The sequence below is a fragment of the Homo sapiens genome, chromosome 11, assembly GCF_000001405.40.
Source record: "Homo sapiens chromosome 11, GRCh38.p14 Primary Assembly".
NCBI classification, from domain to species: Eukaryota; Metazoa; Chordata; class Mammalia; order Primates; family Hominidae; genus Homo; species Homo sapiens.
In genome coordinates, this window is record NC_000011.10 from 47743345 (window position 1) to 47768103 (window position 24759).

The 24759-nt window shown below is 45.4% G+C and overlaps 1 protein-coding gene across 26 annotated transcripts in view, besides 4 other annotated features; it reads right to left on the reverse strand.

Annotated features, from left to right (window-relative positions):
• The window catches only part of FNBP4 (formin binding protein 4), a 50848-nt gene extending 26851 nt beyond the window's left edge, over nt 1-23997 (reverse strand). For 10 of the 26 annotated variants that reach the window (XR_930855.3, XR_002957136.2, XR_007062465.1 and 7 more), the window contains exons 1-8: nt 23719-23997; nt 21926-22018; nt 11184-11320; nt 9572-9758; nt 7799-7946; nt 7572-7692; nt 2712-3050; nt 609-819 (exon numbers count right to left, since the gene is read on the reverse strand). Coding sequence is in view for 20 of the 26 variants with exons in the window: in NM_001441108.1 (NP_001428037.1) it covers nt 609-819; nt 2712-3050; nt 7572-7692; nt 7799-7946; nt 9572-9758; nt 11184-11320; nt 21926-22018; nt 23719-23944 (1462 nt within the window). In the remaining 6 variants the exon portion in view is untranslated. Of the gene's footprint in view, nt 1-608; nt 820-2711; nt 3051-6595; nt 6790-7571; nt 7693-7798; nt 7947-8834; nt 9054-9571; nt 9759-11183; nt 11321-13428; nt 13648-21925; nt 22019-23231; nt 23277-23718 lie in introns of those variants that run through there. The other 16 variants (XR_007062464.1, XR_007062466.1, NM_015308.5 and 13 more) reach the window with 11 other exon arrangements.
• Nucleotides 22362-23287: an enhancer, noted in NCBI's record as "H3K27ac hESC enhancer chr11:47787258-47788183 (GRCh37/hg19 assembly coordinates)". NCBI's record gives its function as "activates a minimal SCP1, AML or CMV promoter by ChIP-STARR-seq in primed H9 embryonic stem cells {active_cell/tissue: H9 hESC(primed)}" and the evidence as "EXISTENCE:reporter gene assay evidence [ECO:0000049][PMID:30033119]".
• Nucleotides 23082-23141: an enhancer, noted in NCBI's record as "active region_4703". NCBI's record gives its function as "activates an Ori minimal core promoter by ATAC-STARR-seq in GM12878 lymphoblastoid cells {active_cell/tissue: GM12878}" and the evidence as "EXISTENCE:reporter gene assay evidence [ECO:0000049][PMID:35858748]".
• Nucleotides 23288-24212: an enhancer, noted in NCBI's record as "NANOG-H3K27ac-H3K4me1 hESC enhancer chr11:47788184-47789108 (GRCh37/hg19 assembly coordinates)". NCBI's record gives its function as "activates a minimal SCP1, AML or CMV promoter by ChIP-STARR-seq in primed H9 embryonic stem cells {active_cell/tissue: H9 hESC(primed)}" and the evidence as "EXISTENCE:reporter gene assay evidence [ECO:0000049][PMID:30033119]".
• Nucleotides 23402-24011: a silencer, noted in NCBI's record as "silent region_3338". NCBI's record gives its function as "represses an Ori minimal core promoter by ATAC-STARR-seq in GM12878 lymphoblastoid cells {active_cell/tissue: GM12878}" and the evidence as "EXISTENCE:reporter gene assay evidence [ECO:0000049][PMID:35858748]".

Genomic DNA, 24759 nt, shown 5'->3' on the forward strand with positions numbered 1-24759 from the left:
CGGTGGCAGGCACCTATAATCCCAGCTACTCGGGAGGCTGAGGTAAGAGAATTGCTTGAATCTGGGAGGCGGAGGTTGCAGTGAGCCAAGATCATGCCTTTGTACTCCAGCCTGGGTGACAGAGTGAGACCTCCGTCTCAAAAAGGAAAAGAAAAAAAAATAATTAGGGCCAAATGGAGATTAAAATATTAGCTTCATCCAGGGATCTCTGAAAATAGATTAAAAAATGCAGCAGGAGCTCTTCGACCTTACCATGAATGAATGATAAGGTCCTTATTACCTGAATGAAGACAACTTGGGTCCTCATGACACAATCAAACTCTCTACCCACCCACACAGAGGCTGGGCAACGTAGACAGAGAGAAGAAATGGGACTGGACTCTGAATACACCACCATCCAGTGGGTGTCAGCCTCTCAGGCTCTTACTCCTCTACTAGAAAAAGATCTGGAAAAGGTAGAGAGGTGGATGGAAGCTTCCTTCCCAGCACTTCTCCCAAAGAGTAAAAGTACAATCTCCTGTTTTGTTGAAGAGGAAACAAAAAAAGACAAGAGTTTCCTTCCCCTCTATATCTTTCAACTCTGAAGTTTAATGTGAAGCACAAATTACCAGTTTCTCCATTTTCTGGAGTATCTCGTCCAGTTTTACTAGAACTCCTACTGGTAGATTCTGGACTGGTAGCTCGAACAAACATCTTCCATTTTCCTCTTTTAGACATAAGCCTACGCATTCCATCTTGAGATGCTGGCTGGCTGATATCAGAACGTGGACTAGACCCTGACACACTACCATCTCCTTCCTCCAAGGCTCGCAACTCTGCCTACAAAGAACATGACAATTAAGTTAGTGTCATTAACTGCTTATTAATATGTATAATCAGAATAATAAACAAGACTATGTTGTTGAAATTTAAATTCTTTGAGAACAGAAAGCACTTTTTTTTTTTTGGAGACAGGCTCTCCCTCTGTTGCCCAGGTTGGAGTGCAGTGGCATGATCATGGCTCGCTGTAGCTACAACCTTCTGAGCTCAAGCAATCCTCCCACCTCACCCTTCCAAGTAGCTGGAACTACAGGCACATGTCATCATACTTTTTTTTTCTAGTAAGAGATGATATCTGGGTATGTTGCTCACATTGGTCTCAACTTCTGGGCTCAAGTGATCTCCTGCTCAGCCTCCCAAAGTCCTGGGATTACAGGCATGAGCCACTGCACTCGGCCTACTCACTCTATTTTTATTTTTTAATTTTGCCCATTTTTTTGTGGGTACATAGTAAGTGTATATATTTATGGGATACATGAGATGTTTTGACACAGGTATGCAATGTGAAATAAGCACATCATGGAGAATGGGATAACCATCCCCTCAAGCATTTATCCTTTGAGTTACAAATAATCCAACTTCATTCTTTAAAGTTATTTTATAATATACAGTTATTATTGACTAGTCACCCTACTGTGCTATCAAATAGTAGGTCTTATTCATTCTTTCTGGTTTTTTTCTGGTACCCATTTGTATAAGTCTGAGTAATGTCAAGTCTCTTTATTGATTATCAACTACCTGTTGTGGGAAGTCAGGGATCCTGAATGGAAGGACCAGCTGAAGCCATGGCAGAGGAACATAAATTGTGAAGATTTCATTTTAATATGGACATTTATCAATTCCCAAATAACACTTTTACAATTTCTTATGCCTTTCTTACTTTAATCTCTTAATCCTGTTATCTTAGTAAGCTGAGGATGTACATCACCTCAGGACCACTGTGATAATTGTGTTAACTGTACAAATTGATTGTAAAACGTGTTTGAACAGTATGAAATCAGTGCACCTTGAAAAAGAACAGAGTAACAGTGATTTTTAGGGAACAAGGGAAGAAAACCATAAGGTCTCACTGCCTGCAGGGTCAGGCAAAAAGAGCCATATTTTTCTTCTTGCATAGAGCCCATAAATGGACATGCAAGTAGGGAAGATATCGCTAAATTCTTTTCCTAGCAAGGAATATTAATATTAATATCCTGGGGAAGGAATGCATTCCTGGGGGTAGGTCTATAAACTGCCGCTCTGGGAATGTCTGTCCTATGCGGTTGAGATAAGGACTGAGATACGCCCTGGTCTCCTGAAGTACCCTCAGGCTTATTAGGGTGGGGAAAAACCCGGCCCTGGTAAGTCTGTGGTCAGACTGATTCTCTGCTCTTGAACCCTGTTTTCTGTTGTTTAAGATGTTTATCAAGACAACATGTGCACCGCTGAACATAGACCCTTATCAGTACCTTTTTGCCCTTTGAAGCACATGATCTACTCCCTGTTCTTACACCTCCTCCCCTTTTGAAACCCTTAATAAAAAACTTGCTGGTTTGAGGCTCGGGTGGGCATCATAGTCCTACCGATATGTGATGTCACCCCCGGCGGCCCAGCTGTAAAATTCCTCTCATTATACTCTTTCTATTTCTCAGCTGGCCGACACTTATGGAAAATAGAAAGAACCTAGGTTGAAATATTGGGGGTGAGTTCCCCCGATAACTACCAAAAGTATCATCAAGGACCAAAAAACCTACACCTCTGTAGTTTAAAGTTTTTGCTGCATAAGCTTCAACATACCTAGATGATGGGATAAGAAAAACAAAATCCCAATAATGGTTGTAAGTCAAGCACAATGATCCCTGTAGAGTAGTACTGAGGAAAAAACATTCTACAAGTAACTTTCAAAAGCTTACTTTTTTCCTTTCCAAAACTAGCTCCAGTTCAAGGGTATCTTGTTCCTCTTCCTCCTCACTTTCTCCAGATTGGACAACACTGCAAAGATCCTCCTGAGAAGGGTCTTCTATATTGTCCAACATAATTTCCTGTGGCTTTACTATTGTTGTTGCTTCTTCTACTGTTGTACTTGTTTCTTTTACTTCTGAAACTGGCTCCTCTTTACAAATTACTTTTCTTCTCCATCTCTCTTCTTCTTCTTTTATTCCCTCAGGCAATAAAGGAGCAAGCAGCGATGCTGCCACCCCTTTCTTCTCCTCCTCACTATTTGAGAGAGCCTGAATTCCTTCATTTACTTCCTATAAAGAACAAAATAATTTAGTCTCATTTAATTCTGAAACAAATCTCACCTGCACATACATTCAATTGCACACACATTCATATTAACTGTTTTCAGTAGCTGAATACTCAAGGTAAAAACGACTTTTTTTTTTTTTGAGATGGAGTCTCGCACTGTCACCCAGGCTGGAGTGCAGTGGCACAATCTTGGCTCACTGCAACCTCTGCCTCCCAGGTTCAAGCTATTCTCCTGTCTCAGCCTCCCAAGTAGCTGGGATTACAGGCGCCCGCCACCATGCCCAGCTAATTTTTTGTATTTTTAGTAGAGGCCTTTCACCACGTTGGCCAGGCTGGTCTCAAACTACTGACCTTGTGATTTGCCCACCTCAGCCTCCCAAAGTGCTGGGATTACAGGTGTGAGCCACCGTGCCCGGCCAAAACCACTTACTCCCAACAGGTGAGTATATATTTATACCATTACATTATTACTTTAGACAGACACTGACTGAATGAGAGCCTAGTTCTAGGTAGGATTCAAATATATCCTCCCTGCTATTCTCAGGATGTCAAAAGGCAGACTAGTAGTAAACAGAGATAGATTTAAGATCAGTATTTTGTCAGCTCATAACATGACTGGATAAATCTTTACCTTCTTCTGTATGATGAGAAATTTTTTTTTTTGAGAGAGTCTCACTCTGTTGCCCAGGAGTGCAATTGCGTGATCTCAAGTCACTGCAACCTCTGCCTCCCAGGTTCCAGCGATTCCCAGCCTCACAGCCTTAGCCTCCCAAGTAGCTGGGATTACAGGGATGCACCACTACACCCAGCTCATTTTTGTTTCTGTTTTTGAGACGAACTCTCGCTCTTCTTGCCCAGGCTGGAGTGCAAAGTGTGATGTCGGCTCACTGCAACGTCTGCCTCCCGGGTTCAAGCAATTTCCCTGCCTCAGCCTCCTGAGCAGCTGGGATTATAGGCGAGAGCCACCAAGCCTGGCTAATTTTTTTTGTACTTTTAGTAGACACAGGGTTTCACCACGTTGGCCAGGCTGGTCTCGAACTCCTGACCTCAGGTGATCCGCCCACCTTGGCAACAGGCCCAATTTTTGTATTTTTAGTAGAGACAGGGTTTTACCAGGTTGGCCAAGTTGATCTTGAACTCCTGACCTCAGGTGATCTGCCCACCTCAGCCTCCGAAAGTGCTGGGATTACAGGCGTGAGCCACCATGCTGGGCCTGATAAGAAAATTTAGTAAGTATGCCATGAAGGTGATTTAGACTAAAGTGAACTATTCCTAGGCCGGGCGCAGTGGCTCATGCCTGTAATTCCAGCACTTTGGGAGGCCAAGGCAGGCGGATCACAAGGTCAGGAGTTTGAGACCAGCCTGGCCAACATAGTGAAACCCCATCTCTGCTAAAAATACAGAAATTAGCCCGGCATGGCGGCGTGCGCCTGTAATCCCAGCTATTCGGGAGGCTGAGGCAGAAGAATCGCTTGAACCTGGGAGGCAGAGGTTGCAGTGAACTGAGATCATGCCACTGTACTCCAGCTCGGATGACAGTGTGAGAGACTGTCTCAAAAAAATAAAATAGCTGGGCGTGGTGGCTCATGCCCGTAATCCCAGCACTTTGGGAGGCCAAGGTGGGAGGATCACATGGTCAGGAGTTCGAGATCAGCCTGGCCAATATGGTGAAACCCCGTCTCTACTAAACTACAAAAATTAGCCGGGCGTGGGACAGGCGCCTGTACTCCCAGCTACTCGGGAGGCTGAGGCAGGAGAATCGCTTGAACCCGGGGGGTGGAGGTTGCAGTGAGCAGAGATCGCGCCACTGCACTCCAGCCTGGGTGACAGAGCTAGGCTAGGTCTCAAAGAAAAAAAAAATAATAAAAATAAAAAATAAAAATAAAATAAAATAAAATAAAATGAACTATTCCTGAAATGAAATTTGTGATTAAAGTATCTGCTTCTCCCATTGGGGTAACACTTGTCCTATCCTCCTTTCTGTAACTGTAAATTTAAGTTATTATTATTATTTCTGGATGGTCTCACTCTGTCCAGGCTGGAACACACTGGCACAATGATAATTTTGAACTCCTGGGCTCAAGCTATCCTCTTGCCTCTGCCTCCTGAGTAGCTGGGACTACAGGTGTGTGCTACCTTGCCTGGGTAATTTTTCTTTTGTAGAGATGGGGTTGATCTTGTTATGTTTTCCAGGCTGGTTTAGAACTCCTGCACTCAAGCCATCTTCCTGCCCTGATTAAATTATTATTTTATTATTATTATTAAATTTTTTTTTGAGATGGAGTCTCACTCTGTCACCCAGGCTGGAGTGCAGTGGTGCGGTCTCAGCTCATTGCAACCTCTGCCTCCCAGATTCAAGCGATTCTCCTGCCTCAGACCCCCAAGTAGCTGGGACTACAAGCATGTGCCACTACACCCAGTTATTTTAGTATTTTTAATAGACGGGGTTTTACCATGTTGGCCAGGCTGGTCTTGAACTCCTAACCTCAAGTGATCCGCCTGCCTTGACCTCTCGAAGTGCTGGGATTACAGGTGTGAGCCACTGCGCCAAGCTCAATTATATTATTTTAAAGTATTTTTTTTGGGCTACATGCAGTAGCTCACACCTATAATGTAAGCAATTTGGGAGGCCGAGGCAGAAGCATCACTTGAGCTCAGAGTTTGAGACCTGTCTGGCAAACATGGTGAGACCACGTCTCTCAAAAAACAAACAAACAAACAAACAAACAAACAAAACCTGGCATGGTGGTGCACACCTGTAGTCCCAGCTACTAAGCAGTCTGAGGCAGGACTGCTTGAGCTCAGGAGAGTAAATCTGCAGTGAGCCATGGTCGTGCCACTGTACTCTAGCCTGGGTGACAGAGTCAGATCCTGTCTCAAAAATAAGTAAATAAAAAGGAAAGGTGCGGTGGCTTGTGCCTGTAATCCCAGCGTCTGAGGCAGGTGGATCACTTGAGGTCAGGAGTTCAAGACCAGCTTGACCAACTGGTGAAACCTCGTCTCTACTAAAAAAAAATAGAAAAATTAGTCAGGCGTTGTGCCTGTAATCCAAGCTACTCGGGAAGTTGAGGCAGAATTGCTTGAAACTGGGAGGCGGAGGATGCAATGAGCTGAAATCGCGCCACTCCCTTCCAGCCTGGGTAACCAAGCAAGACTCTGTCTCAAAAAGAAAAAAATTAAAATTAAAATATATTTTGATGCAAAAAAGTCTTTAAAATTGAAGATAAATTGGAATTCAATATACACTCCCTAAGGAATACAACTTACTTTTCTTACTAATTAGGCTATAGAAATGCTCAGGTTTCACTAACATAGTATCCGTTATTGAAAAATCCAAAATCTGAAACCGTTTGAGCACTGACATGATGATCAAAGGAAATGCTCACTGGAGCATCTCAGATTTCACATTTTCAGATTAAGAATACTCAACTGCTAAGTATAACGCAAATATTTCAGAATTCAAAAAAATTCAAAATCTAAATTATCTCCGATCCCAGGCATTTCAATTAAGAAATACTCAACCTGCAGTAGTTTTTAAAGTAGTTACCTTTATATTTTTAAAATGTCTTATATATGGAATCCGAAAAATAATAGAATGATTCTATGTGAAGTGGAGCCCTGTCTGGACTGCTGCTCCCACGTCCTTTGCAATGATCCAAGAGGCCTCTGTGATACCCTAAAGCTCTCAAAGAAAAAGTGAAGTGGGCCAGCTGCAGTGGCTCATGCCTGTAATCTCAGCACGTTGGGAGGCTGAGGCAGGTAGATCACCTGAGGTCAGGAGTTTGAGACCAGCCTGACCAACATGGTGAAACCCTGCCTCTAATAAAAATACAAAAATTAGCCAGGCATGGTGGCAGGTGCCTGTAATGCCAGCTACTCAGAAGGCTGAGGCAGGAGAATCACTTCTTGAGCCTGGGAGGCAGAGGTTGCAGTGAGCTGAGACAGCACCACTGCGCTCCAGCCTGGGCAACAGAGCGAGACTCCATATCAAAAAAAAAAAAAAAAAAAAAAAAAAGGCCAGATGTGGTGGCTCACGCTTGTAATCCCAGCACTCTGGGAGGCCAAGGCAGGCGGATCATGAGGTCAGGAGATCGAGACCATCCTGGCTAACACAGTGAAACACCGTCTCCACTAAAAATACAAAAAATAAGCCAGGTGTGGTAGCGGGTGCTTGTAATCCCAGCGACTCAGGAGGCTGAGGCAGGAGAATGGTGTGAACCCGGGAGGTGGAGCTTGCAGTCAGCTGAGATCGCACCACTGTACTCCAGCCTGGGTGACGGGGCGAGACTCTGTCTCAAAAAAAAAAAAAAAAAAAAAAAAAAAAAGAAAAAAGAAAAAAGAAAAAGTCAAGTGAGTAACCGCTATAAAGGCTACATAATACACAGAAACAAAGTGAAAGTTATGAAACTTATCCTATTTCACATGTATGACATAAAATATTAAGAGAAGGCTTCCACTCCTGTGCTCAGAGTAACGCTTATTAGATCTGAAAATAAACAAATGAGGTAAGTTTCGACACTGACCTTTTTAACTTCTCGCTTGGCTATGACTGGTCCACTTTTACTACTGGAAACAGAAATCGTTTTCTCCTTAGAATATATGTCTGTATTTACCACAAAACTAGTTTCAGCACCTGGCACAGAACTAAAAAAATATATACTTAGCAAGAGAAATATAAGACAAATACTATCAGCAAAAGATAAGGCTTCAATTTCCTTCTAGGCAATTTCACTTTTAAATTTATTCTTACCTGGGCTGGTAATGCTGTAATCCCTGTACCTGTGTGGCAAGATATTGGGGTAACTCCCAAGTCACTTCATTTGTTTGTGTATTCCAATAATAATAACATCCCGTGTTCTCATCCCAGACTTCCTGCCAATCGCCCATCTCAATTCCGACTAGAAGATAAAACAAATTTTAAGCACAAATCCCTCTACAATTCTGGCTTACATATAAGCTCAAAAGCCAAAATCACCTAACAGTTTCTCAAAACAGCACTGTTAACTTTTGGGCACACAGGTCTTTGTTGTGGAGGGGCAATCCTATGTGGAGGTTTTAGCAGCACCCCTGGCCTCTGCCCACTAGATACAGTAGCACTCCCATCCACCCTGCCTCCTACATTGTGACAATAAAAAATATTTGACAGACATTGTCAAATATCCCCTAGGGGCACCCCCCAACACTGGTTGAGAACCACTGGCCTAACACCAAGAATTATTTTCTCAATATCTAACATTTAGAGTCACCTTTGAACACATTTTTTAAAAAAAAACAGTTTGGCCGGCTACAGTGGCTCATGCCTGTAATCCCAGCATTTGGGAGGCCAAGGTGGGCAGATCACCTAAGGTCGGGAGTTTGAGACCAGCCTGATCAACATGCAGAAACCCTGTCTCTACTAAAAATACAAAAATTGGGCGTGGTGGTGCGTGCCTGTAATCCCAGCTACTCGGGAGGCTGAGGCAGGAGAATTGCTTGAACTCGGGAGGCAAAGGCTGCGATGAGCCAAGATTGCACCATTGCACTCCAGCCTGGGCAACATGAGCAAAACTCCACCTCTAAATTAGTAAATAGAAAAAAGCAGTTTGCTGGTCCAAAAATGTACCTAAAATACTTTGAATATCATGGCTTTTCTTATTCAACTGGCAAGGACAAGCAATTACTTTTTAAAAGATAAAAATTACATCCTACTAGTTTTCTGAGCCGACTATCCTACCTACCATCTTCAACATGCTTTATTTAAAAAGACAGAGGTTGGGCGCGGTGGCTCAAACCTGTAATCACAGCACCTTGGGAGGCCGAGGCAGGTGGATCCCCCGAGGTCAGGAGTTCGAGACCAGCTTTGCCAACATCGTGAAACCCCATCTCTACTAAAAATACAAAAAATTTGCTGGGCGTGGTGGTGGGTGCCTGTAATCCCAGCTGCTCAGGAGACTGAGGCAGAAGAATTGGTTGAACCTGGGAGGCGGAGGTTGCAGTGAGCCGAGATCGCATCACTGCACTCCAGCCTGGGCAACAAGGGTGAAACTCAGTCTCAAAAAAAAAAAAAAACAATTAAATAAATAAAAATAAAAAGACAGAATCCTAAAGTCTAAGGTTAAAGTCTCTGGGCTTTCATCTTTAGAAAACTGAATGCCAGCCGGGAGCGATGGCTCACACCTGTAATCCTAGCACTGTGGGAGGCCAAGGCAGGCTGATTTCCTAAGCTCAGGAGTTCGAGACCAGCCTTGGGCAACACAGTGAAACCACGTCTCTACTAAAATACAAAAGAGAAATTAGCCAGGCATGGCAGTGTGCGCCTGTAGTCCCAGTTACTCAGGAGGCTGAGGGAGGAGAACTGTCTGAACCCAGGAGGTGGAGGTTGGAGCGAGCCAAGATCGCGCCAGTGCACTCCAGCCTGGGCGACAGAGCGAGATTCCATCTCAAAACAAACAAACAAACAAACAAACAAAAAACCAGAAAAGTGAATGCCTAGAATCCCTTTAAGGATTTTACTTTTCTTTAAAAATCAAAGGATCAAGTTTACCTCCTGCCAGTGAACACTGAGTATCATATTGCCAACCAGATGTTTGGGTGGAGTCTGTTCCATTTGAAGTAGAAGAAGAAAGGGTAGATGTTGCTGCTTCCTTTGGCTCTGGTCGAGGTGGAGTTGGAGGTGGAGCAGAAGCTCCTACAGGAGCTGCAGGCTGAGGAGCTGTTATGGCATCGATCTCCTTCAGTATGAAAAGAGTAACAAATGCAGTAATTATATCAAAAACAAGAAACTTAAGGAAATGGCAATCACTTTTTAAAAATTCTACATGAGCCGGGCACAGTGGCTCACACCTACAGTTCCAGCACTTTGGGAGGCTGAGACAGGTGGATCACTTGAGGTCAGGAATTCGAGACCAGGCTGGCCAACATGGTGAAATCTCCCTCTACTAAAAATAAAAAAAATTAGGCTGGGCACGGTGGCTCACGCCTGTAATCCCAGCATTCTGGGCGGCCAAGGCGGGCGGATCACCTGAGGTCAGAAGTTCAAAACCAGCCTGGCCAATATGGTGAAAACTTGTCTCTACTAAAAATACAAAAATTAGCTGGATGTGGTGGTGGGCACCTGTAATCTCAGCTACTTGGGAGGCTGAGGCACTAGAATTGCTTGAATCTGGGAGGCGGGGATTGCAGTGAGCCGAGATCACGCTACTGCATTCCAACCTGGGTGAAAGAGCAAGACTCTGTCTCAAAAAAAACAAAAAACAAAAAAAAAAGAATACAATTATTATCGGGCGTGGTGGCACATGCCTGTAATCCCAGCTACTCAAGAGGCTGAGGTGGGAGAATTACTTGAACCTGGGTGGCAGAGGTTGCAGTGGGCCAACATCACGCCACCACATTTCAGCCTGGGTGACAGTAAGACCCAGTCTCGAGGGAGAAAAAAAAAATTCTAGATACTCATTCTAAGCTTCTCAAATCAAAACCCTCATCTTCCAATTATACAAGCTCCCCAGTCTCTTCTAATTTGCCTTTCTTCTCTTTGAAAGCTTTACAAAAAGAAAAGGGAGGTGGTGGCTCACGCTTGTAATCCCAACACTTTGGAAGGCCGAGGTGGGTTGATCACCTGAGGTCAGGAGTTTGAGACCAGCCTGGCCAACATGGTGAAACCCCGTCTCTACCAAAAATACAAAAATCAGCTGGGTGTGGTGGCACATACCTGTAGCCCCAGCTACTCGGGTGCACATACCTGTAGCCTCAGCTACTTGAACCCAGGAGACAGGTTGCGGTGAGGCGAGATCGTACCGCTGCACTCGAGACTGGGCAACAGAGTGAGATTCTATCTCAAGAAAAAAAAAAAAAAGGAGAGACAGCCAGGTGTGATGGCTCACACCTATAATCCCAGCACTTTGGAAGGCCGAGGTGGGAGGATCGCTTCAGCCCAAGAGTTCAAGACCAGCCTGAGCAACACAGTGAGACCCCATCTCTTAAAGTTAAACAAAACAAAACAAAAAGAGAGATAGAGATCGGGAGAAATACAAGAGAGTGTTGGAGGGAGAGGGAGAAAGGAGGAGGAAGACATTGAACTGACAAGTACGCTGACCACTTAAGATCCAGGTCCCAAAGTAGCTTCAGTAACTAAAACTCCAAACGAAAGCACCACTAACCGCTAGGAAGTTGGCCAATGTACTATCAATATCAGTTGACTGGTTTCCATTTGTCTCTTTGGATTGTGCTAGTTTTTCGGAAACATCATTGTCATCGTCATCACTGTCAGCATAAGCACCAAGCAAGCATAGACCGCCTAGAAACAAAAAGGTAAACAGTATTTGTAACAACAATGTCAATATGTCCTAAGAAGCATCTAAAGCGGAAGTATAACATGTTTTTTTTAAACTTACTTACAGATTAGAACATAACCGCAAAACTAATAATCACTGAACTACCACAGAAGAATAAATTACATCGTATGGTTAAAGCTAATAAAAATTGATCTATAGGCCTGGTGCAGTGGCTCAACGCCTGTAATCCCAGCACTTTGGGAGGCCGAGGTGGGTGGATCATGAGGTCAGGCGTTTTGAGACCAGCCTGGGCAACATGGTGAAACCCCATCTCTATTAAAAATACAAAAAATTAGCCAGGCCTGGTAGCACGTGCCTGTAGTCCCAGCTAGTGAGGCAGGAGAAGTGCTTGAACCTGGGAGGCAGAGGTTGCAGTGAGCCAAGATCACGCCACTGCACTCCACCCTGGGCAAAAGAGTAAGACTCTGTCTCCGGGGGTTAAAAAAAAAAAAAAAAAATTGATCTGGGCTGGGCATGGTGGCTCACACCTGTAATCCCAGCACTTTGGGAGGCTGAGGCGGGCAGATCACCTGAAGTCAGGAGTTCAAGACCAGCCTGACCAACATGGAGAAACCCTGTCTCTACTAAAAATACAAAATTATCCAGGTGTGGTGGCACATGCCTGTAATCCCAGCTACTCAGGAGGCTGAAGCAGAAAAATTGCTTGAACTCGGGAGGCGGAGGTTGCGGTGAGCTGAGATCACGCCACTGCACTCCAGCCTGGGCAACAACAGTGAAAATCCGTCTCAAAATAAATAAATAAATAAAATAAAAAATAAAAAAACATGTTGATCTATGAGCCAGGCAACACAGCTTATGTCTACAGACCCAACTTCTTCGGGAGGATCTGAGGCAGGAAGATCATTTGAGCCCAGAATCTGAGACCAGCCTCGAAAACATAGTGAGACCTTGTCTATCCCATAAAAACAAAAACAAAAAAAAAAAAAAGGGAAAAGGAAAAAGAATAAAAATTTAGCCGAGCATACGGCTGAGGTGCAAGGATAGCTTGAGCCCAGGAGGTTGAGGCTGCATTAAGCCGAAACATCTCCACTGTACTCCAGCCAGGGTGACAAAGTGAGACTGACCATGTCTCCAAAAAAAAAACAAAAACAAAAAAAATCGAGAACAAGAAAATTAATCTGCATAGTTATTTCAATCAATTATTCAATCTCACTCTCTTTCCAAATTGTTCATAGATAGTATATCTTGATTTTAGAATTTGGTGATTAAAGTGTTTACTTCAAACTGAGCCAATTACAGTGTAGCAGCTGAAACAAAGACTTTCAAAAACTAAAGAAATAAAGACTTTCAAAGTTAAAAACGAAGCTTTTAATCAATGATTATTCCTCAAATAGGAAGTGACAGAAATTAAAAACATGAAGTGACAGGAATTAAAAATGGGGCTCAACATGGCTAAAACCAATGATCAATGTCTTCCTCAAATTTAAGTGGTATCAGGTATGGCCTCTGTAATGCTGCTATGCCATTTCCTTTTGGATCATCTGTGGCTACTCCAAGATTACAATTAACAATATAATACATAGAGTATTATTATATGTATTATAAACACATAAAATGTTAAATTCTAGCTAGACTTTTCCAGCTATTACTTATATTAAATTTCACAGCGCTGACACATTCTACGCTCACTAAAAAGTTGGTAAATGAACAGATTTATCGAAAGTTAAATCTAGTTTTGTGTGTCATACATCCCATACATAAACTCAAAGGTCACCTAAAAGTAAACATAAATTGTTCCATTAATCATGTAGGAGTTCATATTCAGTGCCTTAGTATCGTAATTCCTGCCTTCATTTTTTTCTTTCTGTATGTAGGTTAAGTTTTTTGTTGTTGTTGTTATACTTTAAGTTCTAAGGTACATGTGCACAATGGTGCAGGTTTATTACATATGTATACATGTACTATGTTGGTGTGCTGCACCCATTAACTCATCATTAACATTAGGTATTTCTCTTAATGCTATCCCTCCCCCACCCCCGACCCCATGACAGGCCCCGGTGTGTGATGTTCCCCACCCTGTGTCCAAATGTTCTCATTGTTCAATTCCTACCTATGAGTGAGAATATGTGGTGTTTGGTTTTCTGTCCTTGCGATAGTTTGCTCAGAATGATGGTTTCCAGCTTCATCCATGTCCCTACAAAGGACATGAACTCATCCTTTTTTATGGCTGCATAGTATTCTATGGTGTATATGTGCCACATTTTCTTAATCCAGTCTATCATTGATGGACATTCGGGTTGGTTCCAAGTCTTTGCTATTGTGAATAGTGCTGCAGTAAACATAACGTGTGCATGTGTCTTTATAGCAGCATGATTTATAATCCTTTGGGTATATACCCAGTAATGGGATCGCTGGGTCAAATGGTATTTCTAGTTCTAGATCCTTGAGGAATCACCACACTGTCTTCCACAATGGTTGAACTAGTTTACACTCCCACTAACAGCATAAAAGCGTTCCTATTTCTCCACATCCTTTCCAGCATATGTAGGTAAGTTCTTAAATAGCAATTTTATTTTGAGATGGAGTCTCGCTCTGTCCCCCAGGCTGGAGTGCAGTGGCTCCGCTCACTACAAGCTCTGCCTCTCAGGTTCACGCCATTCTCCTGCCTCAGCCTCCTGAGTAGCTGGGACTACAGGCGCCCGCCACGCCCGGCTAATTTTTTTGTATTTTTAGTAGAGATGGGGTTTCACCGTGTTAGCCAGGATGGTCTTGATCTCCTGACCTCGTGACCCGCCCACCTCGGCCTCCCAAAGTGCTGGGATTATAGGCGTGAGCCACCGCACCCGGCTGAGACGGAGTCTTGCTCTGTTGCCCAGGCTGAAGTGCAGTGGCGCAATCTTGGCTCATTGCAACCTCCACCTCCAGGGTTCATGCGATTCTCCTGCCTCAGCCTCCCGAGTAGCTGGGATTACAGGTGTGCACCACCACACCTGGGTAATGTTTGCATTTTTAGTAGAGATGGGGTTTCGCTATGTTGGCCTAGCTGCTCTTGGACTCCTGACCTCAAGTGATCTGCCCACCTCGGCCTCCCAAAGTGCTGGGACTACAGGCATGAGCCACCACACATAGCCTCTAAACATCAATTTCTAAAGTTTGATTTGTTTATGTATATATGTAAGAGATACGGTCTTGCTCTATTGCCAAGGCAGAAGCAGTGGATCACTACATCCTCAAACTCCTGGCCTCAAATGATTCTCTTGCCTCAGCATCCTGAGTGGATGACTAGAGTCACAACCCACCATGCCTGGCTAATTTATTTTATTTTTTATTTTATGCAGAGATGGAATCTCCTATGTTGCCTAGGCTGGTCTCATCCTGTCCTCATGTGATCTTCCTGCCTTGACTTCCCAAAATGTTAGGCAAAATTTTTCATTTCTTTTTTTTGAGACAGGGTCTCACTCTGGCACAAGTGAACTGGTGCGATCACAGCTCACTGCAGCCTTGACCTCCTGAGCTCAACCAATCTTCCCACCTCAATCAGGCTCCTGTGTAGCTGGGACTAGAGATGCGCACCACTGCGCCTGGCTAACTTTGGTAGAGACGGGGTTTTGCCATGTTGCCTAGGCTCATCTCGAACTCCTGGTCACAAGCCATCCTCCTGCCTCAGTCTCCCATGTAGCTAGGACTACAGGCCTACGCCACCACACTTGGCATTTTTTAAGCACACAAAAGGTTTCAATCTGTTGCTCAGTTTGGTCTTGAATTCCTGAGCTCAAGCAATCCCCTGCCTGAGCCTCCCAAAGTGCTGACATTACAGGTGTGAGCCACCTCGTCTGACCACAAAATATAGGTGTGAGCCACCTCACCTGATCACAATAGTATTTTAAACTGGTAAGAAAGATATTTACATGGACGTTTGTGGACAGGCATGGTGGCTCATGCCTGTAATGCCAGCACTTTGGGAGGCTGAGGCAGGTGGATCACGAGGTCAGATCAAGACTATCCTGGCCAACATGGTGAAATCCCACCTCTACTAAAAACAAAAAATTAGCTGGCTGTGGTGGTGCGCGCCTGTAATCCCAGCTACTCAGGAGGCTGAGGCATGAGAATTGCTTGAACCCGGAAGGTGGACATTGCAGTGAGCTGAGATCACGTCACTGTATTCCAGCCTGGTGACAGGGCGAGACTCCGTCTAAAAAAAAGCGGGGGGGAAAAGAGAGAGAAATTTGCAAGGACGTTTCTTAGATAGTGTCTCTAATTTTTTTTTTTTTTTTGAGATAGAGTCTCACACTGTCACCCAGGCTGGAGTGCAGTGGCACAATCTCAGCTCAGTGCAACCTCCGCCTCCCGGGTTCAGGTGATTCTCTTGCCTCAGCCTCCCGAGTAGCTAGGATTAACAGGCGCACGCCACCACGACCTGCTAATTTTCGTACTTTTAGTAGAGACGGGGTTTCACCATGTTGGCCACGCTGGTCTCGAACTCCTGACCTCAAGTGATCTGCCCTTTTTGGCCTCCCAAAGTGCTGGGATTACAGGTGTGAGACCTGCGCCTGGCTTTTTTTTTTTGGTATGGAGTTTCGCTCTTCTTGCCCAGGCTGGAGTGCAATGGTGCAGTCTTGACTCACTGCAACCTCTGCCTCCCAGGTTCAAGTGATTCTCCAGCCTCGGTCTCCCAAGTAGCTGGGATTATAGGCGTGCACCACCACGCCTGGCTAATTTTTTTGTATTTTTAGTAGAGATGGGGTTTCACCATGTTGGCCAGGCTGCTCTCGCACTCCTGACCTCAAGTGATCTGCCTGCCTTGGCCTCCGAAAGTGCTGAGATTACAGGCGTGAACCATGGCGCCCGGCCCAATTTTCTTGATATTCTGAACAAAATGTATTCAGCTTTATAAGAGCAGAACTACCAAAGGAGAAACTTCTGTATGAAATAACGCCACACTTTTGTATACAGTACTGATGGATTCTGGAAAGGAGAGTGGGAAATTTTATTTTTAAATAAAAATACTGGCCGGGCACGGTGGCTCATGCCTGTAATCCCAGCACTTTGGGAGGCCAAGGCGGGTGGATCACCTGAGGTCAGGAGTTCAAGATTGGCTGGCCAACATGGTGAAACTCATCTCTACTAAAAATTCAAGAAAAGGAGCTGGGCGTGGTGGCAGGCACCTGCAATCCCAGCTACTTGGGAGGCTGAGGCAGGAGAATCACTTGAACCCAGGAGGAGGTGGTTACAGTGAGCCGAGGCTGTGCCATTGCACTCCAACCTGGGGAACAAGAACAAAACTCTAACTCAAAATAAATTAATTAAAAATAAAAATACTTCTAATGACAATCATAGATATAATCACTTTCAGTAAAAAGTTTCAATCAGGTAAGCTGCATGGTATTTTCATTACAAAATTTCCCAACAAGAGGTAGTTCCCCAGGTCCACAGGCAAAATCGGCTCTGCCTATTCCCTTTCTTCACCTAAGAGCTTTTCACCTATGGACAAACTTCTTCTAAACTCCTAAAAACATAATAAATTAGCCAAGAAAATGAAACTTATTAAGCCTAGTGTTTGTGAGAAATTCAGAGAGACATCATAAATTGATCAAACATTTTTTTTTTTTTTTTTTTTGAGACAGAGTCTTGCTCTGTCACCCAGGGTGAAATGTAATCACATGATCTCGGCTCACTGCAGCCTCTGTTTCCTGGGTTCAAGCGACTCTCCTGCCTCAGCCTACCAAGTAGTTGGGATTACAAGTGCGTGCCAATGTAATTTTTGTATTTTTTTGTTTTTTTTTTTTTTGGAGATGGAGTCTCACTGTCACCCAGGCTGGAGCGCAGCAGCACAACCTTGGCTCACTGCAACCTCTGCCTCCCGTGTTCAAGCGATTTTCCTGCCTCAGCCTCCCGAGCAGCTGGAATTAGAGGAGTGCACCACCAACCACAGGTAATTTTTTTGTATTTCTAGTAGAGATGGGATTTCACCATGTTGGCCAGGCTGATCTAGAACTCCCGACCTCAGGTGATTCACCCGCTTCAGGCTCCCAAAGTGCTGGGATCACAGGCGTGAGCCACCCAGCCTGGTCTTTTCTATTTTCGTAGAGACAGGTTTTCACCATGTTGCCAGGCTGGTCTCGAACTCTTGACGTCAGGTGATCCACCTGCCTTGGCCTCCCATAGTGTTGGGAGGCGGCAGCCACAGTGACCGCCTAGATTCCATATATCTTAAGTGAAATTTGGCAACAGGTACCAAGAGCTACAAAACTCAAGTTTATTTTATATAGTTTCATCTTTGAGACTATAATACCAAGACATAACTCCAAAAAAACTTTGCTCAAAGCTTCTGGTGGCTTGCTTGAAACAACTAAAATCTGTAAACACTCAAATGCTCTCAAACAGTGGACTGGCAAAGCAAATCATAGGACATACCTGATTTATTACCATTTTGTGATAAATCAGACTATTATAGAATCACATGAAATATTACTAAAGGGATTAAAAGTAATGCTAAAGGAATAAAAGCAAGTCATAAAATACATACAAAATTTAATTAAATCTCAGAAAATACAGTGTATATACTGTTAACAGGAATGAAGTTAGAGTAACACTGAAAATAAACGTTCACATTATCAGGTAAAATTGCTTTATCTTAGAAAAATCTCAGAGGCTGGGCATGGTCGCTCACCGCTCTAATCCCAGCACTTTGGGAGGCTGAGACGAGTGGATTACAAGGTCAGGAGTTCAAGACCAGCCTGGCCAAGATGCTGAAACCCTGTCTCTACTAAAAATATAAAATTAGCTGGGGATGGTGGCATGAGCCAGTAATCCCAGCTACTAGGGAGGCTGCAGCAGGAGAATCACTTTAACTCAGGCGACGGAGGTTGCAGTGAGCCAAGATCACACCACTGCACTCCAGCCTGGGCGACAGAACAAGACTCCATCTCAAAGCAAAAAAAAAAAGAGAAAAATCTTAGAAACAAAATCAACAGGATGGTCACGGTGGCTCACATCTATAATCCTAGCATTTTGGGAGGCCAAGGAAGGAGGATCACTTGAGCCTCCTTGAGAACAGCCTGGGCAATAAAGTGAGACCATGTCTACAGAAAGAAAAAAAATTTTATTAAAAACAACAACAAAGCTGGCCAGGTGTCACTGACCTATAAGCAGGTACTAAAGAACTCCAAGAATTTAATTTCTTTTTTTTTTTTGAGACAGAGTTTCGCTCTTGTTGCCCAGGCTGGAGTGCAATGGCGTGATCTTGGCTCACCGCAACCTCTGCCTCCTGGGTTCAAGCGATTTTCCTGCCTCAGCCTCCTAAGTAGCTGGAATTACAGGCATGCGCCACCATGCCCAGCTAGTTTTGTATTTTTAGTAGAGACGGGGTTTCTCCGTGCTGGTCAGGCTGGTCTCGAACTCCAGACCTCAGATGATCCGCCAGCTTCAGCCTCCCAAAGTGCTGGGATTAGAGGCGTGAGGCACAGCGTCTGGCTGTTTTTTTTTTTTGAGATGGAGTCTTACTCTGTCACCCAGGCTGGAGTGCAATGGTGTGGTCTAGCTCATTGCAACCTCCGCCTCCCGGGTTCAAGCGATTCTCCCACCTCAGCCTCACGAGTAGCTGGGACTACAGGTGCGTGCCACCATACCCAGCTAATTGTATTTTTAGTAGCGATGGGGTTTCACTATGTTGGCCAGGATGGTCTTGAACTCCCGACCTTGTCATCCGCCCGCCTTGGCCTCCCAAAGTGCTGGAATTACACGCGTGAACCACCGTGCCCCGCCTATTTTTTTAAATTATTTTTGACACAGGGTCTCATTCTGTCACCTAGACTGGGTTGCAGTGGCATGATCATATATAGCTGACTGCAGCCTTGAACTCCTGGGCTCAAGCGATCCTCCTGCCTCAGTCTCCCAAGTAGCTAGGCCCACAGGTGCTCATCAGCACGTCTAGCTAATTTTAAACTTTTTTGTAGAGGTGGGGGTCTCGGCCAAGTGTGATGGCTCATGCGTTTAATCCCAGCACTTTGGGAGGCTGAGGCAGGTGGATTACTTGAAGTCAGGAGTTCCAGACCAGCCTGGCCAACATGGTGAACCGTCTCTACTGAAAATACAAAAATTAGCTGGGCATGGTGGCGTGGGCCCGTAATCCCAGCTACTTGGAAGGCTGAGGAAGGAGAATCGCCGGAGCCCAGGACACAGAGACTGCAGTGAGCCAAGATCACGCCACTGCACTCCAGCCTGGGCAACAGAGACTCTGATTCCAAAAAAAAAAAAAAAAAAAAAGAGTCTCTCTGCTGCCTAGGCTGCTCTTGAACTCTAGGATTCAAGTGATCCTCCCACCTCAGCCTCCCAAAGCACTAGGATTACAGGCATGAGCCACCCATTTTCAGGGGCGTTAAAAACTAAGCTCCTGGGCTGGGCACAGTGGCTCATGCCTGTAATCCCAGCACTTTGGGAGGCCAAGGCAGGAAGATCACTTAAACCCTAGAGTTGTAAGAACAAGTCCTTGACTACTGTTAAGATGAAGATGTGTTGCAGGCTGGGCGTGGTGGCTCAGACCTGTGATCACCGCACTTTGGGAGTCCAAGGCGGGTGGATCACTTGAAGTCAGGAGTTCAAGACCAGTCTGGCCAACATGGCAAAACCCCGTCTCTACTAAAAATACAAAAATTAGCCGGTAATCCCAGCTGCTCAGGAGGGTGAGGTAGGAGAAATCACTTCAACCCGGGAGGCAGAGGTTGCAGTGAGCCAAGATCACACCACTGCACTTGAACTCAAAAAAAAAAAAAAAAAAAGATTTGTTGCTACTTAAAGCCTGAGAAAGCATGGTCATTCTTCAGAGCCATAGTGTTTTGTTTTGTTTTGTTTTGTTTTGAGACGGAGTCTTGCTCTGTCGCCCAGGCTGGAGTGCAGTGGCGTGATCTCGGCTCACTGCAAGCTCCGCCTCCCGGGTTCACGCCATTCTCCTGCCTCAGCCTCCCGAGTAGCTGGGACTACAGGCGCCCGCCACCACGCCCAGCTAATTTTCTGTATTTTTAATAGAGATGGGGTTTCACCGTGTTAGCCAGGATGGTCTCGATCTCCTGACGTCATTATCCACCTGCCTCGGCCTCCCAAAATGCTGGGATTACAAGCGTGAGCCACTGTGCCTGGCCCAGAGCCATAGTTTTTAGCAGTCTTTTTTTGAGAAAGGTGTTGACCCCTCAAACCTCAACATTCTTACTTACCTTTGAGGGATGGTGCTACACAATTTGTATATCAGCTACCTATATCAGGCAGTAAATTATTTCTTAGGTATATACCTCTTATGGCTTGAATGTGCCCCTAAAAAGGATGTTTTGGAAATTAAATCCCCAGTGCAACAGTGTTGGGAGGTAGGGGCCTAATGGAAGATGTTGACATCACGAGAGGACATTCAAACCACAGGAGTAATCAAGGAAGTTTCTCCTAGAAACATTTAAATTTATATTTTATTTTATGTATTTATTTGAGACAGGTTCTTACGGTCGCCCAGGCTGGAGTGCAGTGGCAAAACCTCAGTTCACTGCAACCTCCACCTCCTGAGTAGCTGCGATTATAGGTGTGCGCCACCATGCCCAGCTAATTTTTATGTTTTTAGTAGAGATGGGGTTTCACCATGTTGGCCAGGCTGGTCTCGAACTCCTGAACTCAGGTGATCCGCCTGCCTCAGACTACCAAAGTGCTGGGATTACAGGCGTGAGCCACTGCTCCTGGCTAAATTCTACATATTTTAAATGAGTGTTAAGTCTCAAATGAAATAACATATGCAGTTGGCAAATACAAAATGGTATAATGTAGTTCTGAAATTTCTCTCACATTCAAATTTTAGCTTTCTAACCCACACTGGGGTGTTTTGTTTGTTTTTTTTTTTTTAGGTGGCAAATGGTGAGGAGAGAGGAATAAGCATCTATCATTTTAAGCATCAAATAGTACAAAAAGTATTCTGAACTGAAAAGAAATTACTACCAATTATAGAATATTTAATATTAAAACACATTTTACTCTTCCAAGATACACAGAGTAGAGAAAATTAACATTCCTGGCACTTACTATGTCACATCTGGAAATATCTCAGAGATAAAAGATCCATTTTACAGATTAATGAGGTTCAACCCAATTAGTAATTGCGCCAAAGTCTAAGTGTGAATGCCAGAGTGATGAATTGAACCCAGGTTTGTCTACAAAACCACTGTTGCAACTATGGCATTCCTTTGTACTTGAAAATATTTAATAAGATCAATTTCCAGGTCCACCAATGTTTGTTAGGTAACCAATCAAGCCAGAGTGTTAGAAAAGGAATAGGAGTTGGCATGCCTAATGAACACCAAGCTAGTGGGAGGACCAGAAAACTAGTTATAAAATAGCATCAGGAAAAAAAAACAGTAAAAAACGTTTTGGGTAAAGAAAAACAACAAATTTTGCACTGGTCAAAGTGTATATACATCAACATTCTCTCACAAACAAAAATAATCTTAAATCATATTTTTGGGAGAAATAATGTTAGCAACACTAAAGCATTCAGCAAAACATTCTATGTACAAACCCAACTTGACTTTAATGAAAGACGTGGGAGAAAAAATGTAAAAAACAAAACAAAAGCATACCTGTTGCTTTAACAGCTGTGGGTCTAGTGGTCATGACTGGTTTTGGAGGATTCTGAACAACTCTAGGAACCTCCTGCACCGCTTCCTGTTCATCTGGATTAAAAAAAAAGAAAAGAAAAGAAAAGAAAAGAAAAGAAAAGAAAAGAAAACTGCAGTCAGATTCCAGACCAGAGAAAACACTAGAGGTGACAAACCAACCTTTGATTTAACATTTCAGCTCTAGATTCCATCAATTTTTTAAAAAGTGCATTTCGGATGGGTTCGCACCTGTAATCCCAGCACTTTGGGAGGCCAAGACGGGGGGGGGGGGGGGCCACTTGAGGTCAGGGGTTCAAGACCAGCCTGGCCACCATGGTGAAACTCCATCTCTACTAAAAATACAAAAAATAAAAAAATTGCTAGGCATGATGGCACTCGCTTGTAATCCCAACTACTCGGGAGGCTGAGGCAGAAGGATCGCTTGAACCCAGGAGGCAGAGGTTACTGCAGCCTGGGCCACAGAGGAAGACTCCATCTCAAAAAAAAGAAAGGACATTTCATTGACCCAAATAATTGGGAGATAATAAACACAGAGCTGGAATCTTTTTTTTTTTTTTTTTTTGAGACGGAGTTTCGCTCTTGTCGCCCAGGCTGGTCAAACTCCTGACCTCGAGTAATCCGCCTACCTCGGCCTCCCAAAGTGCTGGGATTACAGGCATGAGTCACCGTGCCCTGGAGTCTTTCATCTGCTTACAAACTTCAACATCAAGGGAAGACTCTTACCATGGTAAATAAAAATTATTAATACATCTGCATGGCCGGGCGCGATGGCTCTCGCCTGTAATGATCGCTTGAGCCCTGGAGTTCGAGACCAGCCCGGGAAACATGAACTCCGTCTCTACTGAAAATACAAAAATTAGCCGGGCATGGTGGCAGGGTCCTGTAGTCCCAGCTACCCAGGAGGCTAAGGCGGGAGGATCGCTTGAACCCGGGAGGTGGAGGTTGCAGTGAGCCCAAGATCGCGCCACTGCACTCCAGCCTGGGCGACAGATTGAGACATTGTCTCGAAAAAAACAAAACAAAACTCTTAAAAAGTTACATCTGCAATACTTACAAATACATACAAAAACAGTAAGTATTCTCCAGGCTATGATAGGACCTTTACAAGACACACCAAACACTGCTATTGCGGATTTTTTCCAATTAACGAACCAGCGTGATCTCTGAACATGTGAAACGGTCGCGGCTTCTCCGGCGCCTAGTCCTGGAGTCACTTTTAATCTAAGCACCACTCCAGTGAGAACCACACAAATACTTAGGAACCTACCAGCTCCATTTCTCCAGCAGTTCTGCTAGTGTGGGGATGCTTACTAGCTGGAATATTAAGAGCTTTTTCTAAACGTCTCTATCCCCGTTTCGACAAAACCGAAAGGAGGCAGATGACGTGTGGAAAGGCCTGGCCCACAGTCACAGGCCGCGCACGCGGAAACTCATCCTCACATCCACCCTCTGCGTTACCCAAAACCGACCCGGGGCGTTTGGGAGACTCAGGATGCCCGAACTTCGGTCATATTTCAAACGTTCCCGGGGCAAGCCCTGCACCACAGATGGCGCCTCGGGCTTGGCCCGGGCCGAGGGCGCAGAACTCGGCCTGGCCCTTCTGCGGCCCGGAGCCCAGGGCCGCCCCGCCTGCAGGCCCGCAGCAGGCAGGCCTCGGAAGCCGACCTCGCCCGCCTCCCTCGCCGGGTCTGGCCAGGCGCCGTGAGGAGCCTAGGCCGCAAGCCCTGAGCTCGAGTTCAGGTCCCCCCGCGCACCCTTGCCTTCTGAAGGCGAGTCGTCCGAGGCCGCGGCGGCAGTCACCGCGGTGGTGGTGGTCGTCGCCGCCGACGGGGCGGGCTGGCTGGGGACCGCCGCGGTTGAGTCCGGCTCAGTGTCGGGTTCCGGCTCCGGGTCCCGGCCCGGCGTGCTGCCCCGAGGACCCGGCGGAGAGAGTTGCAGGATGGGCCTACGGCCGGGTACCGCCCGGGACTTCTTCCCCATCGCGAGCCCAAGCGCGAGCAGAGAGCGTCGGGCGGCCGAGAGGGGCGGGCACTGGAGGCTGGGCGCTGGGCCCTGGGCGCTGCGACGCGTAATCAATATTCATACACCGTGACACCGCCTCCAGCCCGGATCCGCTTTCAACCAGCGGAGCACGCGCTTGCGCAAGCGCCTCGGACCCTTCGGCTCTTCTGGCTCCTCCTCACCAGGAGAAAGGGCGGGATTACCAACTGCGCTAGGCGATTGGCTGTTTTGACCCAGAGAAGGGACCGGTGGCCAATGGAAAAGGAAAAAGGGTGAGAGTCCAGCCAATAGTGCGGTAGGGCCTGAATTAGAACGACTTCCCCACTTCCGTCGGGTTCCACCCATGCGCTTTCCCCAAGCCTTTTCTTTGCCTACTTGTCCTCCATCTTGTGGCTATTCTCGGCCTAGAGTTTCATGTTGTCTGTCTTCTAGAAAGGTGTGCTGCTGGGCCCAGCTCACTCACGCCTGTAATCTCAACACTTTGGGAGGCCGAGGCGGGTGGATCACGAGGTCAGGAGTTCAAGACCAGCTTGTCCAAGATGGTGAAACCCCGTCTCTACTAAAAATACAAAAGATTTAGTCGGGCGCGGTGGCAGGCGCCTGTAATCCTAGCTAGTCGGGAGACTGAGGCAGGCGAATCGCATGAACCCGGCGGCAAAGGTTACAGTGAGCCGAGATCGCGCCACTGCACCCCACCCTGGGTGACAGAGTGAGACTGTCTCAAGAAAAAAAAGAAAGGTGTGCTGTTTTCTGAGCCCTTCCCCACGTTTCGCCCGGATTATTGTGGCTTACTT